A 21,537-nucleotide genomic window follows, 5' to 3' on the forward strand; every position below is an offset into this window, starting at 1 on the left:
TGAGATTTATCTTCTTTAAATTGTATGTGGTATTTTAATGGGGATTGCGTTGAATTTGTAGATTGCTTTTGGCAGTATGGTCATTTTCACAATATTGATTCTACCCGTCCATGAGCATGGGATGTGTTTCCATTTGTTTGTGTCATCTATGATTTCTTTCAGTGGTGATTTGTAGTTTTTCTTCTAGAGGTCTTTTGAATCCTTGGTTAGGTATATTCCTAAGTATTTTTTTTTTACAGCTACTGTAAAAGGGGTGAGTTCTTGATTTGATTCTCTGCTTCATCACTGTTGGTGTATAAAGAAGAGGTACTGATTTGTGTACATTAATCTTGTATCCGGAAGCTCTGCTGAATTCTTTTGTCAGTTCTAGGAGCTTTCTGGAGGAGTCCTAAGGATTTTCAAGGTAAATGATCATATACTCAGCAAACAGTGGCAGTTTGACTTCCTCTTTACCGATTTGGATGCCCTTTCTTTCTCTTGTCTAATTGCTTTGGCTAGGACTTCCAGTACTATGTTGAAGAGCAGTGGTGAGAGTGGGCTACCATTTCATCCAGCAATCCAGCTACTTGGTATCTACCCAGAGGAAAACAAGTCATTATTCGAAAAAGATACTTGCACACACATGTTTATAGTGGCAGAATTCACAATAGCAAAATCATGGAACCAACCCAGATGCCCATCAATCAATGAGTGGATAAAGAAACTGTGGTATATATATGTATACATATATATATATGTATACATATATATATATATATATGTATACATATATATATATGTATACATATATATATATATGTATACATATATATATATGTATACATATATATATATATGTATACATATATATATATATGTATATATACGATGGGATCGTATATATGTATATATATGATGGGATACTATGCAGCCATAAAAAGGAGTGAATTAACAGCATTTGCAGTGACCTGGATGAGACTGGAGACTGTTATTCTAAGTGAAGTAACTCAGGAATGGAAAACCAAACATTGTATGTTCTCACTGATATGCTGGAGCTAAGCTATGAGGATGCAAAGGCAGGAGAATGATACAATGGACTTTGGGGACTTGGGGGGAAGAGAGGGAGGGGGGTGAAGGATAAAATACTACATATATGGTGCAATGTATACTGCTCAGGTAATGGATGCACCAAAATCTCACAAATCACCACTAAAGAACTTATTCATGTAACCAAATACCACCTGTACCACAATAATTTATGGAAAAAATTGTATGTAAGAGCATGATTATATAATTATGTCATAGGTATTGTTCATGGTATTGTTTCTTTTTTCTTTTAGTTTTTCCTTCCTTCCTTCTTTCCTTTCTTCCTCCTTCCTTCCTTACTTTCTCCTTCCCTTCTCCCCTTCTCCCCTTCTTTCTTTCCTTTTCTTTTCTTTTCTTTTCTTTCTTTCTTTCTTTCTTTCTTTCTTTCTTTCTTTCTTTCTTTCTTTCTTTCTTTCTCTCTTTTTCTTTCTTTCTTTCTTTCTCTCTCTCTCTCTTTCTTTTTTCTTTTCTTTTCTTTTCTCTTCTTTCCTAGCTTTTAATGATTGCCAGTAGTTTCTGGTGTTCCTGGGTTTGCAGCTGAATAACTCCAATTGCTGGCTGCATCTTCACATGGACTTTTTCTTTATTGTTTGCCTGTATCTCCATGTTTCCTTTTTTCTTATAAGGACAGCAGCCGTTGGATTTAGAGCCAACCCTAATGCGGTATGATCTTATTTTAACTTGACTGACATTGGGATAATTTGTGTGGGTCAGAGTCCTACGCATAGGTGGGATAACTTAGATTCCAAGACTAGATTCTAAACCTCGGCTTGATCACTGTCTGATATTGGGAAAGTTTCTGATCCAAACTTCATTTTTCTTATTCATAAAAGCATTAGCACCAGCAACTCTCATTTCAACAGATTCATGTAAAAATTAAATGAATCTGTGTAACATGTGGTTGTTGGAAACCCTTGGTCAGATCCTATCTAAGGATTCAAACACCACCAGATAAGCAACATAGAGTGAACACAGCATGTCTATTTTCTAACTCACCCTGAAACCAAATTTCCAAATATTTCCCCCCAAAATTATAAGTGTCGTTCTAAAGGACAAAACAAGATAATGATAGAATTCCTAGGAAAATTACTTTCCTGAAGAATTAGCTTGCTTGTTAAAGTATAGGGAGGCTAGAAAGTGGTGTATAATTTAGTACTTCCACTAAGATGGACACATTGAACCCATGTTCAATTACATGCCATTATTAAACCAGCTCCAATTATATAAAGCAAAGGGGCCTTTCTGGGCATCCACCATCTTTTTTTGCATGGGGAACGGATTAAAAGAAACGAGGACATTTCTTGTTTGAAGCATTTTCCTGGCTGGTCTCATGGAGCTTGGCTGTGGGGTCTTAGCCCATTCTTTTGTTTTCCTCTTCTCTCTGTGTGAATGAGGCTTTCTGAAGGGCCTACGCTTGTTGAGATATTCTGAGGCTGACCAACTCATCCAAGTTTGCTCAGGAACTTTCTTGTTCTACCTCTGAAAGTCCTACATCCAGAAACTCACTCTGTCATATGCAAACTGGCCTATGACTGTCATAGCCACCACAGAGCTTGACTGACTCTATCCTTTGTCAGAGAGGTAAACACAATTGGGGTGAGATCCAAATGCTGTCCATTGTCTTGTACAGGAGAACAAAGTCACAATAAAAATCCTTTGACTTGTATGACTTTTTATATTGCCTCATGTAAGAAGAGACTCATCTCTTATTTGTCAGGTTGTAAATTAAGCATGTAGCACAGTCTCTACCTACCTATCTAGCTAATTTGCTAGCTAGCTACCTACAGAGTTATCTACTTACTTATCTACCTACCTATCCACCTACTTGTTTGTCTACTATCTACTGAATACGGCCTAAGTACCTATCTATATTCCTTTCTACCCGCTAACCTACCTACCTACCTATATATCTGCCTATCTATTTAGCTACCTACCCACCTACCTACCTCTCTACCTCTCTATTTATGTGTCTGTCTACTACTTACTAAATATGACGTAGTACCTATCTATTATATATATTATAGATCTTCCTACCTAGTAACATACCTAGTATCTACTTATCTACATATCTACGTACCTACTTAGCTACCTACCTAACCACTTACCTACTAACTGAGCTAAATATATTCTCACCTACCTATATACCTACCTGCCTGTTTACTACTTACTAAATATGACCTAAGTACCTATCTATATGCCTTCCTATCTACTAAGCTACCTACCTATGTAGCTAGTTAGCTAGCTACATACCAACCTCTACCTACATACTTATCTACTTATGTATATACCTACCTACCTACTTATAAATAAACATACCTACCTAACTATCCACCTATCTCCCCTACCTACCTATCTATCCACTGACCTGTGTACTACCTACTAAATATTACCTAAGTACCTATCTATATACCTTTCTACCTACTAAGCTACCTACTTACCTAGCTAGTTAGCTACCTACCTACCAACCTATACCTATATGATATCTACTAATTATAAACTTACCTACCTATCCACCTATCTACCTACCTACCTACCTATCCACCTATCTACCTACCTACCTATCTACCTACTAAATATGACCTAAGTACCTATGTATATACCTTTATACCTATTAAGCTACCTATCTACCTAGCTAGTTAGCTACCTACATACCAACATATACCTACATACTTATCTTCTTAACTATCTACTACTTATGAATATACTTACCTATCCACTTATCTACCCTACCTACCTATCTACCTACTTGTTTACTACCTAGTAAATATGACCTAAGTACCTATCTGTTTACCTTTCTACCTACTAACCTACCTAGCTACCTACCCACCTACCTATTTACCTACTTACTTACCTAACAATCCATCTACCTATTTGCCTACCAGTCTAAGTACCATGTTTACTACCAACTAAATATGGCCTAAGAACCTATCTATATATGTTTTTACCTACTAACCTACCTACCTACCTACTTACCCACCTACCTATATCAAACTAGCTAGCTACCTACATCCTTACTACCTATCTATCTACCTATGGGAAATCTGGATCCCAAAAAAAGTGAGTTTTGGAAACCACATCCTAGCCCCTGTTATTATATTGCCAGGTTAAGATGTAGTTCTGTTTTATTTTTGTATTAATTCCTCTGTGGCAACACTCACATCCTGTCATTCATACTTCTGGTAAAGCGTACAACTGGCTTGGGCAGTGATGATTGCAGGGAACCTTAGCCACTGCTGTTGGCCTGAATCCCCCACTCTCTGGGTCCTTGCATCTGCCCATTGTTCAGCCATTTGTGCCTAGTCTTGGCTGCCCCTGCTGGGCACCAGTCAACATTATAGGGCTCTGATGATAAACAACTTAACAGTTTCCCTGATGCCCTTTGTAAAACGCATACTCACTTACACCATGCTTCACACATTGATTTGAAAAAAGAGATTCAGTACCTTATTTAAATACACCACCAATTTAGTAAAAGACATGACACAAAGCATTGAGTTATCAAATCACATCCTCTGGAGTCAGCCAGGTCAGGCTTTACTGAGGATATTAGAGGCATGAGTAATTTTGCAGTATAGTAAACTAGAGATATTTGTTTTCCTCCATCAAGACTCCTCAAGTTTCCTCTTCTCTCATTGCATGTTTCTAGACCAGGTTGATGGATGAGGTTTCTAACAAAAACCCATGACCATTTTACCATGAAAAAGAAATATTTGGGGTCATGGAATATCTTTTTTTTTCCTCAGTTGCACAGCTTAGGTGAAGGTTTCCAGGGAGCTATGTCACATAGATCCATAGATGTCATGTTTCCTTGCCATAAAACAAACCTAAAGAACTAGGTACGTCGTGCTAAACCATTCCATAGATAAGGATTGTCTTGCTAGCCAGAACCACTTGGTTGCCTCACTATGAGGTCTGCTAGGAGTATAATTAGAATGAAATGAGCCTGAATCTCTTGTGTTAACCCCCACACTAAAGGAAATGGATGGGTAGAAAACCTATTACTTTAATTGTTGGCTTCCCAGTGAAGAAACCTAAGATTTTTACTGTTATTAACATGTACAGGCACTATCTCAACACAACACACTCTCTCTTTCTCTCTCTCTACTTAGTTAGCTTTAAGCCTTCTAAGTCTGTAAAGTATACTTTATCATGTCAGAAAAGAAGTTTGTAGTCAATTTTAACATTATTAGAATAGTGATATTTAATATCTAGGATTTAATTGTGCTAACATTAGTTTTTCAAGCAATTAGAATAATAAAGTTTTCTAAAAGAGATCTAAAGCTGTCATTAAAGGGAAAATCAACATCTTTGAATTATTAATAAAAATTGCTTAGCAACCTGTTCCAATAAATAATAATAATATCAACAATAAATAATAAAACATCCCCCCGGCAATTTTTTATTATTGATTACAAATGAAACTAATGTGTCATTTGTTGGTGAAAATAATATTAAAGTGAGCAATAAGCCATTTTTAAGCAATAATAAAAAATGTGATTTTTTATTAGCTTTGTTTTGCTTTCATTTCTTCTGCTACTGAATTATTTGATATTTTATGAATTGGTTGATGTTTGCCATTGGTAGACGTTCAAAAGAAAATAGAAATAGAAGATTATTCTCTTTCATAATGTTTGCATTAGTAATGTTGCCTCTATTTAAAGAATCTGTAAATCCTACAATATATGAAATTGTCGCCGTGATAACCAATCTTTGATTCATTGGGTTTACTCTGTTAGTAGCCACCCTCCATTTTTTGCATGATAGAAGGTGGATTGGACTTTAGTCCATTCTTCATCTTTATGTACAGAAGTGCAAAAACCATTTTAGCTAAATGGGCCCTTCTGGTTTTAGAGCTTTGACTTAACAATTCATTAGTGACCTCTACAGTAGGTTGAGGGGCTAGTTTGTAAGACAGTGAAGAGCACCATATCAACTGCCTATTTGGTAATTTAGTCTAAGCTTTGGATTTCCCACTGGTTGAGATATAATTTTGAGTGGACTTTTAGATGAGAATTTAAAGGGTTGATAAAGACATCTCTAAAGATGACCAGGGCCTGGGCGTGGTGGCTCACACCTGTAATCCCAACGCTTTGGGAGGCTGAGGCGAGTGGATCACCTAAGGTCAGGAGTTCGAGACCAGCCTGGCCAACATGGTGAAACCCCATCTCTACTAAAAATACAAAAATTAGCTGGGCGCAGTGGCAGGCACCTGTAATCTCAGCTACTCGGGAGGCTGAGGGAGGAGATTCACCTGAACCTGGGAGGAAGAATTTGCAGTGATCAGAGATGTCGCCATCGTACTCCAGCCTGGGCAACAAGAGTGAAACTCCATTTCAAAAAAAGAAAAAGGATGACCAGGAGCAAATTAATCACATGAATTCCATCTTGCTCAAAAGATATTACAATCAGGAAAAACATGAAAAAAAATCTGAGCAAAAAGACAAAAAGGATAATTACATGTCTTTGCTATTTAGTTCTACTCCTCTTTTCCTTGTATCTTTTTGTATATCCACCTCTGCAGTCTACTGGTACCTCTATGTTCAGATCCAATATCGTGACCTGCCCTTGGGATTCTCTCACTCTTGCTCTTTGTCTCACCTCTACATTCCAATGTCTTACATAGCTTTACCAAAAACAAGCAAAAATCCTTAGAGATCCTTGATGTTTTTCTTCTTATTCATGGTTCAGTAAATGTCTGTAGAATCAAACTCTTCTGCTATATTGATTCAATCATTTATTTTCTCTCATCGATTTGTTCTATAAGAGTCACAGACTTCACCTTCCTGAGTCCTAAGAATTTGTAGATACAGGATGGAATGTTTCCCAGTGGTAATTGGTTAGGAGCTGCTACATGTTACATTTATTGTTGTAATTTGAGTGGAACCTTCTGTCAGAGAAGCTCTGTCCAATGCATGAAGGGACTATCTGGGTTGCTATGTTTCATGTGCAATTACAGATGACTTTCTCTTGAATTTCCATCTGGGATGTCTTCTGTAGATCCCATGACAAATCATGTTGTCACACATGTTATTAAAGAAATTCAAGACCATCTCATCCCATGAGGTCTATAGATCCCCTTATCTGACACAAATTCTTTATCTCCCAAAGTTCTCAATTTCTGGAAGCTTCCACTTGCCTTGTGGCACTCATAAATTTTTTAACAAAATTCTTCTTACCATAAACACTTTTTGAATGTTTCCTTTACTTTCTTTTTCTCATTGAAAGCTTGGCCCTTCCTTGGCGGGGTAAAAATTTGTTGGCAGCATCCTTCAATAGAGACAGTCTCGTTTTCAATTTTCTCATCCCTAGTGCTAGAGGTGGCATGGTGTCTTTTTGCCTGCTGACACCCTTCTCCAGAATCTCCTCTTTTAAAAAGGCCAGCTTTGGAGCTCATGACATTGGCCATGAGGCCATGTCAATTTCCCTCTCCCTCCAAGGGACAGCCATTCAAGGAATCCATTGTTTGTTGAAAATTTTAGCATGGGATTCACAAACACTACTTCTGTTTTAGTAACTGAAGATTTTAAAATTCATGGGGTTTCAACCTCAGGTACATATTGACATCTTGGAGGAGCTTTACAAAATAATAAAGCCTGCTCTCTGTCCCCAGAGAGATTCAGATTCTGTGACTTGGGCTCTGCTTTCAGAAGTTTCCCAACTGAACATGATGCATAGCCAGGATTGAAAACTACACACATAAATGGTCTTTTCAATACCTTGGCATTTCCATTTATTTATCTCTTGCATAGATTTCCTTGTTCCTAACTCTGACGTGCATTCCTATATTCTCGACCTTCTCATTACTCACAACCAAAAACATAGACAATCTTTCCAATGCCTTTGTATTTCCATTTCTTTATGTCTTCTCTTGCATGTTTTTCCTTGTTCCTGACTCTGGCATGCATGCCCATACTCTCCACCTTCTCATCACTCATCACTCTGACACCAGTTTTAATGATTAACATCCTCTAATTACCATTTATCACTTTTTCATTTGTGTTCCTCACACTGACAGTCTTCAGCTCTGCTAAGACTGAAACTTACTGTTTTTTGTTTGATTTTTAGCACTGCATTGCTATCTTTTGCCCTGTTCCTGTTCTTATGGCCACTCTTACCTATCTTCAATGACAAGTACCATCATGCTACTCCTTGCTTGCCTTCACCTATGACTCCCTTTACCCTCTGGAAGGAAACCGCACTTGAAAAAAAGAAAAAAATTACAGTGACAGATTGGTATATTATTATACAAGATAGACTAGGCGATGCTGCAGTAATGAAAATCATATACTAATTTGCAGTCCCTTAAGCTAGCAAGGGTTTATTTCTAACTCTTGACAACTGTTCAGAGAAGCTATTTCCCATGCAGATGGCAGTGTTCCTAATTTGTAGCTCAACAATCTGAAACAGGTGGCCTCCTTAGTGTATACAGGAAAGGAATTAGTGAGAAATAGGTGAATGATCTCACTCAATAGCCAGGAGCCTGAGACATGCAGTCTCTATATGTCTGGAGGGGAAGACAATCCTTTATTGATGGATACTAGTAATTATCAGGGATTTTGGGGGGTTTACAGATTATATTATTAATTTTTTCAATTATCCTACTTTATTCTAGATTGGGGATAACAGGCAATAACAATATATTATTAGGTAACACAGTGAATTGACTTCTCTACTAATCCCTTAATTTTTTTTTTTTAATTTCAATAGTTTTGAGGGAAAAGGTGGTGTTTTGTTGCTTGGAAAAGTTCTTTAGCAGTGATTTCTGAGATTTTGCTACACCCATCAACAGAGCAGTGTACACTGTACCCAATATGTGGTCTTTTACCCTCACCCCGCTTCCATCCTTCTCCCCAAGTCCCCAAAGTTTAGTATATCATTCTTATGCCTTTGCATCCTCATAGCTTAGCTCCCATTTATAAGTGAGAACATATAATATTAGGTTTTCCATTCCTGAGTTACTTTACTTAAAATAATGGTCTCCAACCCCATCCAGGTTGCTGCGAATACCATTATTTTGTTCCTTCTTATGACTGAGTAGTATTCCATTATATATATATATGTGTGCGAATACCATTATTTTGTTCCTTCTTATGACTGAGTAGTATTCCATTATATATATATATGTGTGTGTGTGTGTGTGTATGTGTATATATGTATATATGTGTGTGTGTGTATATATATAACTTTTTCTTTATCCACTTGTTGGTTGATGGGCATTTAGGCTGGTTCCATATTTTTGCAATTGCAAATTTTGCTGCTGTAAACATGCATGTCCAAGTGTCTTTTTTATATATACACGGACTTATTTTCCTCTGGGTAGATACACTGTAGTGGGATTGGTGAATAAAATGGCAATTGTGAAGGTTAATATTGAATTCAACTTGATTGGATTGAAGAATGCAAGGTATTGTTCCTGGGTGTGTCTATGAGGGTGTTGCCAAAGGAGATTAACATTTGAGTTGGTGGAATGGGAGAGGCAGACCCGCGTTATTCTGGGTGGGCACCATCTAGTCAACTGTCAGTGCAGCTAGGATAGAAGCAGGCAGAGGAACGTGGAAGAACTAGACTGGCTGAGTTTTCTGGCCTCCATCTTTCTCCTGTGCTGGATGCTTCGTGCCCTCGAACACTGGCCTACAACTTTTGGACTTTTGGACTTAACACCAGTGGTTTGCCAGAGGCTTTCAGGCCATCAGCCACAGACTGAAGGCTGCACTGTTGGCTTCCCTATTTTTGAGCTTTTGGGACTCGGACTGGCTTCCTTGCTCCTAAACTCCCTTTCATATTACATCTAGCCTATTAGTCCTGTCCCTCTAGGAAACCCTGGCTAATACAGTAGTTCTTTTAGTTTTTCAAGGAATCTCCATACTGTTTTCCACAGTGGTTGTACTAGTTTACATTCCTGCCAGCAGTGAACAAGTGTCTCCTTTTCACCACTTCCATGCCAACATCTGTTATTTTTTTATTTTGACCAGAGTATGATTGAGCTCATTTTCTTGATCAGGAATTGAAGGTCAGAGTTGTTATCTAATTTATTCAAACTTCTCTACCGGTGAGAATGATGAGATATGAATAAAGGTTTGCCTTATAACCACCACGAGTTCTACTCCAATAGCAGAGGAATAATTTATCCCACAAGAGAATGCCACACCTGGTTTAGAGGTGTGATTTGAAGATCAGTTTTATGTTCCCTCTTCCTGTATTCATTGGTGATAAGCACTTCAATTTTTAGCATCTTCTGAACTGGCTTCCTTTTGGTTCCCAAAGCTCCTGGTTGTTCCATCCTGAACAGATTCGTATATTTGAGTTGTTTTCCTGACCAAGGAAGCCATCTGAGTTTGTGGTTCTGCCCTTTAACCTCTATAAAGCACAATCACCTAAGATGCAGTAACCCAAGGCAAGCTTATTTTAGTGGAATATCAGTCCTGTCTGCTAGCTAGCTTTAAAACAAAGGCCTCCACAATTAACTTTGTTTAATCTCTTGCCAACCAGCTGAAAAAGTACAATCAAAACTGATGACTTATTTTATTTTTTAAGACCTTAATCCTGCAAATATTAGACCGGCCATGGCACACAAGCCTTGAATAAATCAGTTGAAAAAAATTTTCATTTAAATGACCAGCATTTATAAAATTCATAAAAGACCAGCAGTCATAAAATGTCCTCTTTGCTTGGTCTCCTGATCTTAGTGAACTGATATTACCCTTTCCAATAAATAATGTTTCAGGATTATGAGTGCTTTATTCTGTTGATCTCTTCCCTCCAAGGAGCAGAGTGGGTGTCAGGGAGCATCTACTTAATGTCTGAACTTCACTGTGTCTGGATTTAGCTTCCAGCTTCAGATACATTTTGGTTTTAATTGTGTTTAACTTTTAATGACTACAAACAAAGCCCAGCAAAATAAAATTCATCTACCATTGCATCTGAGGGAGAGGTCCTCCAAAAATCAATTGCACTTAGTTAAAACATCATCTGTCGCATTAAATAGATCACTAACTATGGATCCAATTCTCCTCCTTGCGGTCTTGTCTCAGGAAATTGTTTGGAAAAGCATATTCAGACCTTCAAGGTCATGGTCTGGGACATTATGTAGCCCTGGATTGAATGAGCTATTTTGAAATATACCATAAATTCTTTATAACTATTGTCCCCCTACTGTGCTACTGAACACTAGAACTTCTTATTTTTTCTAGCAAATTGTATTCTTATTTTTTATTTTTTTAGAGAAGGGGTTTTCCCTGTTGTCCAGGCTGGAGTGCAGTGGTGTGATTGTAGCTCACTGCAGCCTCAGACTCCAGGGCTCAAGCGATCCTCCCACCTCATTCATCCTTCAAAGTAGCTGAGACAACACCATGCTCAGCCAAACTTAATTTTGTGTGTGTGTGTGGAGACAGAGTCTTGCTGTGTTGCTTAGTCTGATCTCAAACTCTTGACCTCAAGCAATCGCCCTGTTTCAGCCTCCTAAAGTGCTGGGTCTATAGGCACAAACCACCTCACCTGGCTCCTAACTGTATTTTTGTGCTTATTATCTCAAGGTCATTTAAAATTTCTCTAAACGATATAGTTTTGTGGAGAAGATCCTTCACATCTGTCATTATATTAGTTCCTAGGTACATGGTGTTTTTAAGATATTGGAAGCATCCCCTTATAAAATTCATTTTGCTATTTGTTCCTGACTCTGTTAATATCAGCAGGTGTGCAATGGGCTGAGCTGTTTTGCTGGAGTAGGAGGTGTAGCTGCATGACACTGATCCTGATTGAACATCTCTGGATGAACTTGTTAAAAATACACTCTTGAGTCCTACCTCCCTCCTGAATTTGGTCCCAAAATATTTCCCACCTAAACAAAAAAGTTATACTATTACTCTAACAGTTGCACAGACTAAAAATCTTTCTTCTGCCCTTTTATGAATAACCCACACTCAAATCTATCAACTTAACGCTATCTGCTCGCCTTTTAAAATATATCCAGAACAAATACTTTCCAGTGCCATAATACTGTCTTTTTCATACCCCATCGCCTTTTCCACTGCCAGTTATGATAGCCTCATATCAGTCTTCTTTCTGTTATCCTTGTCCTCCTTCAGTCTGTAGTTGGAGTGATCTTTTTAAAAACTGAATAAGGGAACACCTCTACTTTTCTCAAAACCCTCCAAGGATTCCTATCTCACCAGGGTAGAAACAAGTCCTTAGAAGGCCTACAAGATCCTCATCCATCTCTCTTCCCATTCTCTCTCATTTCTTTTTGTCAACTCCATTTTCTGTGTTCCAACCACACTTCTGCCCACATTTCCTCAAACGTCACAATCCCACTGCTATATTAGGAGTTTTGTCTTTGCCATTTCTGTTCCTTTGTTCTTGCATGCTCTTCCCAGCAGCTATCAACATCGTGTGCTTTCTCACTTCCTTCAAAATATAACATTTTCAGAGAGGTATTCCCAAACTACTTTCTACAAAAGTTCTCTGTGACTTGCCACTCTCAATATTGTGGATTTTCTTTCCAATTATTACGGTTACCTGAATAAAGACATATTCATTTGTTCATTACCATTCTTCCCCTACTAGAACGTGAATTTCATAAAAGATGAGCTTTATTTGTTCTGCATGGTGTAGTATCTCAAATGCTTAGGAGTGTGCTCCACCTATAGAATAGTATTATTGTTGGTGCAAAAGTAATTGCGGTTTTTTTGCAAAAAAAAAAAAAATATGGAACCAGCCCAAATGCCCACCAATCAATGAGTGGATAAAGCAACTGTGTTGTATATTTATACAATGAAATACTACTCAGCCATAAAAACCAATGAGTTAATGGTATTTTCAGCAACCTGGATGGAACTGGAGACTATTATTCTAAGTAACTCAGTAATGGAAAACCAAACATCATATGTTCTCACTCACAAGTAGGAGCTAAGCTATGAGGAGGCAAAGGCATAAGAATGATAGAATGAACTTTGGGGGCTTGACGGAAAGAGTGGGAGGGGGTGAGGGATTAAAAAACTACAAATTTGGTTCTGCACAGGAGAGAAACAGGAAGTGTGTCCTGCACAGGGAAGACAGGAGGTGTGTTGCACACAACGGAGGAACAGAATGTGTGTGCTGCACAGGGGAGAAACAGGAAGTGTGTCATGTACAGGGGAGGAATGGAAAGTGTGTCCTGCACAGAGGAGAAACAGGAAGTATCTTTGTCTCAGGAGAATAACAGGAAGAGTGTCCTGCACAAGGAAGACACAGGAAGTGTGTCAAGAAGAGGGGCAACAAAGGAAGTGTGTCAAGAAGAGGGGCAACAAAGGAAGCGTGTCCTGCAAAGAGGAGGAACAGAAAGTGTGGCCTACACAAGAGCAGGAGCAGAAAGTGTGTCCTGCACAGGGGAGACACAGGAAGTGTATGCTGCACAGAAGAGGAACAGAAAGTGTGTCTGTCTCAGGAGGGTAACAAGAAGTGTTTCCTGCATAGGGAAGAAACAGAGTGTGTCATGCACATGGCAGTAACAGAAAGTGTGTCATGCACAGAAGAGGAGTGGAAAGTGTGTGCTACACAAGAAAGAAGCAGGAAGTGTGTCATCTACAGGGAAGAACAGGAAGTGTGTCATGAACAGAAGAGACACAGAAAGTGTGTCCTGCACAGTAGAGAAGCAGGAAGTGTGTCATGAACAGAGGAGAAACAGAAAGTGTGTGCTACACTGAGAAACAACAGAAGGAGTGTCATTCACAGAGGAGGCACAGGAAGTGTGTCTTGCACAGGGGAGAAACAGAAAATGTGTCATGCACAGAGGAGGAATGGAAAGCATGTGCTACACAGGGGAGAAACAGGAAGGATGTCATGCACAGGAGAGACAAAGGAAGTGTGTCCTTCACAGCGGAGAAACAGGAAGTGTGTCACGCACAGAGGAGGAACAGAAAGTGTGTCCTGCACTGGAAAAAAAACAGGAAGTGTGTTCTGCACAGGGGAGAAACAGGAAGTGTGTCCTGCATACCGGAAGAACAGAAAGTGTGTACTGCACAGGGAAGAAACAGGAAGTATGTCCTCCACATGGAAAAAACAGGAAGTGTGTCATGCACATCGGAGTAAACAGAAAATGTGTCATGTACAGAAGAGGAATGGAAAGTATGTGCTACACAGAAAAGAAAGAAAAAGTCAGTCCCCCACACGGAAGAAACTGGAAATGTGTCATGCACAGGAGATACACAGGAAGTGTGTCATGCACAGAGGAGTAACAAAAAGTGTGTGCTACACTGAGAAGAAACAGGAAGGGTATCTTTCACAGGGGAGGCACAAGAAGTCTGTCTTGCACAGAGAAGAACCAGGAAGTGTGTCATGCACAGAAGTGAAACAGGAAGTGTGTCATGCACAGAGGAGGAAGAGAAAGTGTGTACTAAACAGAGGAGAAACACGAAGGGTGTAATTCACAGGGGAGGCACAGGAAGTGTGTTTTGTCCAGGAAAGAAACAGGAAGTGTGTCATGCACAGAGGAGAAACAGGAAGTGTGTCTTGCTCAGAAAAGGAACGGAATGTGTGTCTTGCGCAGGAAAAGCAGGAGGTGTGTCCTTCACAGGAAAGAAACAGGAAGTGTGTTCTGCACAGTGTAGAGACAGGAAGTGTGTCATGCACAGAGGAGAAACGGGTGAGTGCTACACTAAGAAGAAACAGGAAAGGTGTCATTCACAGGGAGGTACAGGAAGTGTGTCTTACACAGGGAAAAACAGGAAGTGTGTCATACACAGAGGAGAAACAGGAAGTGCGTCCTGCTCAGGGAAGAAACAGGAAGTTTGTCATGCATAGGAGAGACCCAGGAATTGTCAAAAGAATGCAACCATTTGTCTCTCACCTACCTGTGACCTGGAAGCCCCCTTCTGCTTTGAGTTGTCCCCACCTTTCTGGACAGAACTAATGTACTTCTTACATGCATTGATTGATATCTCCTGTCTCCCTAAAATGTATAAAACCAAGCTGTGCCCTGACCACCTTGGGCACATGTTGTCAGGACTTCCTGAGGCTGTGTCACAGGCACGCTTCCTCAACTGTGGCAAAATAAGCTTTCTAAATTAACTGAGACCTGTCTCAGATTTTCAGGGATCACATGACCATCTGATTGTTGGGTACAAGTCCAATCTGTGCTATAACCAGAACTGGCAGAAACATCCCCATTGCTAAGGCATGCACTTGGTGCCCAACATTTTAGTTAAGCTTTCAAATACCACTCATTCTGAGCCCTATCACCTCACTATGTGTCTTTCCCTCCCTGTTCTACGTTGGACTTGGTGAGGACATTGCCCTGGCATCCATGGTCATCTAAGACCATTGAGAGGGGGTTCCTCAAAGGCAAGAAGAAGGTTCCTGAGTCAGCCGAGTCAGACCCATTTTCCTAAAGGCAACTTCATTTTCCATCTTCTCTCTTCTCCCCACCCATGCCTTCTTGCTCTCTGCTTTATCCACTGGAGGGTGTATCTCTTGTGCTGTTTCTCACTACCAACACTGTTCTTTATCACTTTTTTAGTTACTCTGGCTGTCTGTTTTTAATAGTCTATGTAAGACCATGCATGGTGGCTCAGATGGGTTTCCAGAAATTACTACAAGATGTTGGGAAGCAAAAAAAAAACACTTCTACCATTAGGATGTTTGACAAATCCTGCTAAATGTGGCTATCTTAATTTGTATGCCTCTGAATTTTGTGGATTTCTTTCTCAATATCTTGTAGACCACTGAACCTTCGAAAACACTACTCAAGTTCGCTATATCTGTACCACTCTTATCTTATTTTCTTTTATATAGTCTTGCTTTGAGTTTTTGCATGTGCTTGGTTGAGGCAGAGGGGAAAAGAAAATAAAAAAATAATAATTTCTAACCCTTAGTATTAATTCTTGTATCTATTTCTTAGAAAAAAATATATCAATCAATCATCTATCTTACCTGTCTGTCATCTATCTATCATCTATCTGTCTGCCTATCTGTCTATCTATCTATGTATCTATCTATCTATCTATTTATCTATCATCTATCTATCTCCCTATCTATGTATATCAGTTACAGGCAAAATTTGTATCCCAAATAAAAGAAAATTATAAATAACAAAATTCATTAAAAGTGGTGGTGATAAAGAATGCTTACATAAGATAATATATATTTCCCATTTTCTTGCATATTTATAGATGTTTGGTGAATAAAGGTTATCACTAGTTTATGTGGAACTTTATTTTACATACATTAAGATGCAAAATAAAAATTCCAAATAGCTTGTCCAAGAAAATCTCTAGTTTATTATTACATCTGATACTCTTTATTTCCATACCTTTCCAGATACTATGAGTAGGAGACCATGGAAAGATAATATCTTAATAGCTTCTGGTGCCGTTCCTCAAACAGCAGAAAACAAATATAAAATAAAAATTTGGATGTGGACTTTCACTTTTTCCATGAAGGAGTAATGAGATGAATTTATTCCACCACCACCACCACCTCAAGGTATAACTACATAACTAAACAGATAGGATGGCAACAGTTGCACAAAGACCAGAAGGGAATAACTGAAAAACAGTTTTTGTTTTAGTATCAGAAGTTTTGAGCTTCTGATACTAAAAGTGAAGTAGTATGATATCATTTGAAACTAGACTGTGATAAGAAAAAAAAAAGTGTACCCGTAAACTCTAAAGCAGTCACAATAGTAATACAGAAAATAATTAAAACCAATAAACCAACACAATTAACCAGAATGGAATCATAAAAACACCGAATCCAAAGGAAGGCAGAAAAAGAGAGAGAAAATAAACCATGAACAGATGGGACAAATAAAAAATAAATAACAAGATGGCAGTTTGAAACACAACCATATCAATAGTCACATTAAATGTAAATGAACCAAATGCCCAAATTGAAATTCAGAGATGGTCATGTTGAATAAAATATACATGACTCAACTCTATGCTGCCTCCAAGAAACTCACTTGCAAGTAGACATTTGTAGAACATTCCATCTAGCAAAATTGATCATTAGATTTTAACAAAGTGAAAAACGTCTACTTTTTTTGTAAGACACTGTTAAGACAATGAAAGCACATGCTACAGGTTGAGAGAAAATATAGGAAAATCACATGTGATGAAAGATTTTTATACAGAATATATAAATAACTCTAGAAAAATAATAAGAAAATAAGCAACCCAATTAAAAAGTTGGTTAAAGCATTTGAGCAGACACAGGAAAGTTATGCTAATGGAAAATAAGCACAAGAAAAGATTCTGAACATCATAGTCATTAGGGAAATTCTGTTGAAACCACATGAAATACCACTATACATATATTTTACTTTTTAAGAAAAAAGTCTGATTATAGCAAGTTTGTGAAGATATGGAGGAACTTGAACACTCACGCATCCTTGATAAGAATGTAAAGCAGTGAAACAACTTTGGAAAACAATTTTAGCTTCTTTAAAACAGGGGTCCTCCATCCCCCAGCCAGTACCAGTCCTTGGCCTGTTAGGAACTCAGCCACACAGCAGGTGAGCGACTGGTGAATGAGCAGAGCTTCATCTATATTTACAGCCACTCCCCATTGCTCACATTACTTCCTGAGCTCCACCTCCTGTCAGATCAGCAGCAGCATTAGATTCTCAAAGGAGCATGAGCCCTATTGTGAACTGCACCTGTGAAGGATCTAGGTTGTGTGCTCCTTATGAGAATCTAATTCCTGATGATCTGTGACTGTCTCCCATCACCCAGAGATGGAACCATCTAGTTGCAGGAAAACAAGCTCAGGGCTCCCACTGATTCTACATTATAGTGAGTTGTAGAATTATTTCATTCTATATTACAATGTAGTAATCATAGAACTAAAGTACACAATCAATGTAATGTGCTTGAATCCTCCTGAAACCATCCCCCTCCTCTCCCTACCCTTGTCCATGGAAAAATTGTCTTCCACAAAACCAGTCCCTGGTGCCAAAAAGATTGGGGACTGTTACTTTAAAAGTTAATGATATACCTGATTTATAACTCAGACATTTTAATCATGGGTATTTATCCAAAATATATAGAAGCACTTACCCAAACAAAGGCACGTATACAAATGTAAATAACAGCTTTATTTTTATTAGCAAAAATCTGGAGACAAACTGAACCTCCATCAAGAGTTGAATGGATAAACAAATTTTCATGAGTACATACAGTGAAATACAGTCCAGAAATTAAAAAGAATAAACTATTGATACATAAAACAACACCAATGAACCTTGAAATAATTTTATTGACTAACGCAAGAAAATAAAAAAGAATGTATAACACATCATGGCATTTATGTAAAATTCTAGAAAGTAAAATCTGTAGTGACAGGAAGCACATCAGTGTTGCCTGTGTTTGAAGACGGAAAAGGGAGAGGGAAAAATTTCAAGGGAACATAAGAAAATTTGGGGAATTAATGGATATGTTTATTTTATTGATAGTGGTGAAGTGTCAAAATGTATTGAAGTGCAGACTTTAAACACCCATCCAGTTGATTGTGCCTCAGTGATATAACTGAAAAATATAGTAGGTTCTGCATGATTACTTAGAAGGTGCTTGGAAAAAAGACATTTATACCCAACTCGACAAACATAATTACTGTTTGGGACAGTAATTCGGATACATTATCCTTTTTTCATTAGAGAATTTGTGTTATCATAAATAAAAATATTTCATCATAAAATATTTAATTAGATACTATAAAGAGACACCATTGGTTTAACAATTCAATTCAAAATTAGCTGATGTTCCAGAATTCTCACTTCCTTTCTCCCAGCCAAGGTTACCCCAGTTGTAATTCCTGAAGCTGAACTTAAGTGACCATGCAAACATTCAGAAGAATGTCAGGATGGAGTTTGGGTTTTAATTAACTAAGAACCCTGAATGGAGATGGGAAACTTACTACGAGTATCTAAGAAGAGAAACTGAAAGCAGGAATGGAGAAAGCTTTCATCAGAGTTTAGAAATCTTCTTCCCTGTGTGATTCAGGAAAATGCTAAGTTGGTTTGACCCTCAACATGTGTCATCCCACATTGAGTGAAAACTCCATCTGAAAGTTGTCTGAAGCTTCTGGAGTCCAGGATTCCTGACAGAACTTGAGACCTGTAAATCCAACCATCTGGGGCTTTTGGGGAAATCTCATGAAGGTGGAAGGGGTAGCTGACTTTCCAATGTTGTTGGCAATGGAATCATATGGGCCACCAATATGGATTTCAAGGGGAAACAAAGATCAAAGAGATTTAAACCTTCTGATTGGCTTTTATCTTGGCAAAACATTAGGTTATAAATGTGCTCAGAGACCAAACCTCAGTATATTTGTACATTGAAGATGGATACAGGGAACAAAAGCTACATACTTTTAAACAACATATTTGGTGAGTTTTTAGTTATGTAATTACCATACAAATAAACAGAAGGTGATATATAATTGAAGAGAAGGCATAATACAATTTTGACAGGTGGCTGCATAAGTAACTCGTTTATGGAAGAACATTTTAATAATCAAACTCTCTGCATCAGTTTTTCCATTTTTTTTCAACTTTTGTTTTAGATTCAGGGGGTACATGAATTACCCCAGGTTTGTCACATAAATATGTTACATGATGCTGAGGTTTTGGGTACAATTGTACTGAGCAGAGTGGCCAATAGTTAGTTTTTCAGCCCTTGGCCCCCACCCTGCAGTTTCTATTGTCTCCATCTTTACGTCCATAAGTACTTAATGTTTAGCTCTCACTTATAAGTGAGAACACGTGGTATTTGATTTTCTGTTTCTGCATTAATTTGCTTAGGATAATGGCCTCTAGCTCCATCTGTGTTGCTGCAAAGGACATAATTTTATTCCTTTTTATGGCTGCATAGTATTCCATGGTGTATATGTGCCACATTTTCTTTATCCAATCCACTGTTGATGGGCACCTAGGTTGATTACATATTTTTACTATTGTGAATCAATTTCTCTAATTTTAAAATAATGCTGGTTGATGAGCTTTCAGTCATATAAAAAACAAGTCTGTGCAAGTCTGTGCAGCATGCTTTAATCTCTCAGAATCAATGACTTGTTTTACTTGAAATTGTATTTATTTTCCTTACTCCTAGAGAATTTACAAAGACTTCTATCCTTCTCTTTTTTCTTTTTTTTTCGTCATCGTCTTCTTTTTTTTTTTTTTTTTGAGATGGAGTCTGACTCTGTCACCCAGGCTGGAGTGCAGTGGCGCGATCTCGGCTCTCTGCAACCTCCACCTCCCAGGTTCAAGCGATTCTCCTGCCTCGGCCTCCTGAGTAGCTGGGACTACAGGTGCATGCCACCACGCCCAGCTAATTTTTGTATTTTTAGTAGAGAGGAGGTTTCACCATGTTGGCCAGGATGGTCTCGATCTCTTGACCTCGTGATCTGCCTGCCTCGGCCTCCCAAAGTGCTGGGATTACAGGCGTGAGCCACTGTGCCCAGCCTTTCATCCTTCTTTGACCAATCATTTTCAGGTCTATGAGGTCACAGTCAACAGTGAATTATCACAAGGTAAGTGAGCAACTTCCAGCTTCAAGAAACATATGGTTTCCAAATTTAGATGCAGAGTGAACATTTTCTAGAGTGAGCATTCTAACAAATGAAGCTTTCTATTATAAATATTATAACAATTTATAGGTAAATAAGCCTTGAAGGATAATGATGTAAACAAACATCTAAGTATTATGGGAAGTTTTTGATCTGCTTTAGTAACACACTTAGAATCTCAACTTTGCCATAACAACACGTGGCATAAGAGTAATGGTTACTTTTTATGACAACTGCTCTATTAATACCCTCTGGCTGCTTCCTTTTCTAAGTAAATAAAAAATAACTAATTCATTTGTTTGCATTTTCAAATCTCTTACTTCAGCAACTTCATGCAAAGTCTCTCAGTGAGTACCATTGAATTTTAGGTGCTAAAATATTTTCAAGAGAAAAGAAATTAAGAAAACGCGGAGGTAATTAACACAGAAAGAGAAAACCAAATACTGGGTGTTCTCACTTATGAGGGAGATGAACATTGGGTACATGGGAACATAAATACAGAAATAACACACACTGGGAACTGAAAAATTTCCTATTGGAAAGGGGGCAAGGACTGAAAAATTTTCTATGCAGTACCACGTTCATTATTTGGGTGACGGGATCAACAGAAGGCTAAATCTCAGCATTATGCAATATACTCTTGTAACACACCTGCACAGGTATCCTCTGAATCTAAAATTAAAAAATACATCAATAATAAATAAGAACAAGTCAGAAACAACAAAATTAATTATATAATTTTGTTGATAATGAATTTATGGTGAAGTCATGTAGTTAGTTTTACTTTATAATAAAATGATACTTTTTCTTCCTAAGAGTGGTAGAGATTTTCAGTTACACTCAAGGGCTTATACCATTTGGGCATACTGACTTCCTTTGAAAAGCAGCCTTATGTGTTACTATATGAAATGGATATTTCCAGATTCCTTGAGGGAC

Source organism: Homo sapiens, chromosome X, assembly GCF_000001405.40.
Source record: "Homo sapiens chromosome X, GRCh38.p14 Primary Assembly".
NCBI lineage: Eukaryota > Metazoa > Chordata > Mammalia > Primates > Hominidae > Homo > Homo sapiens.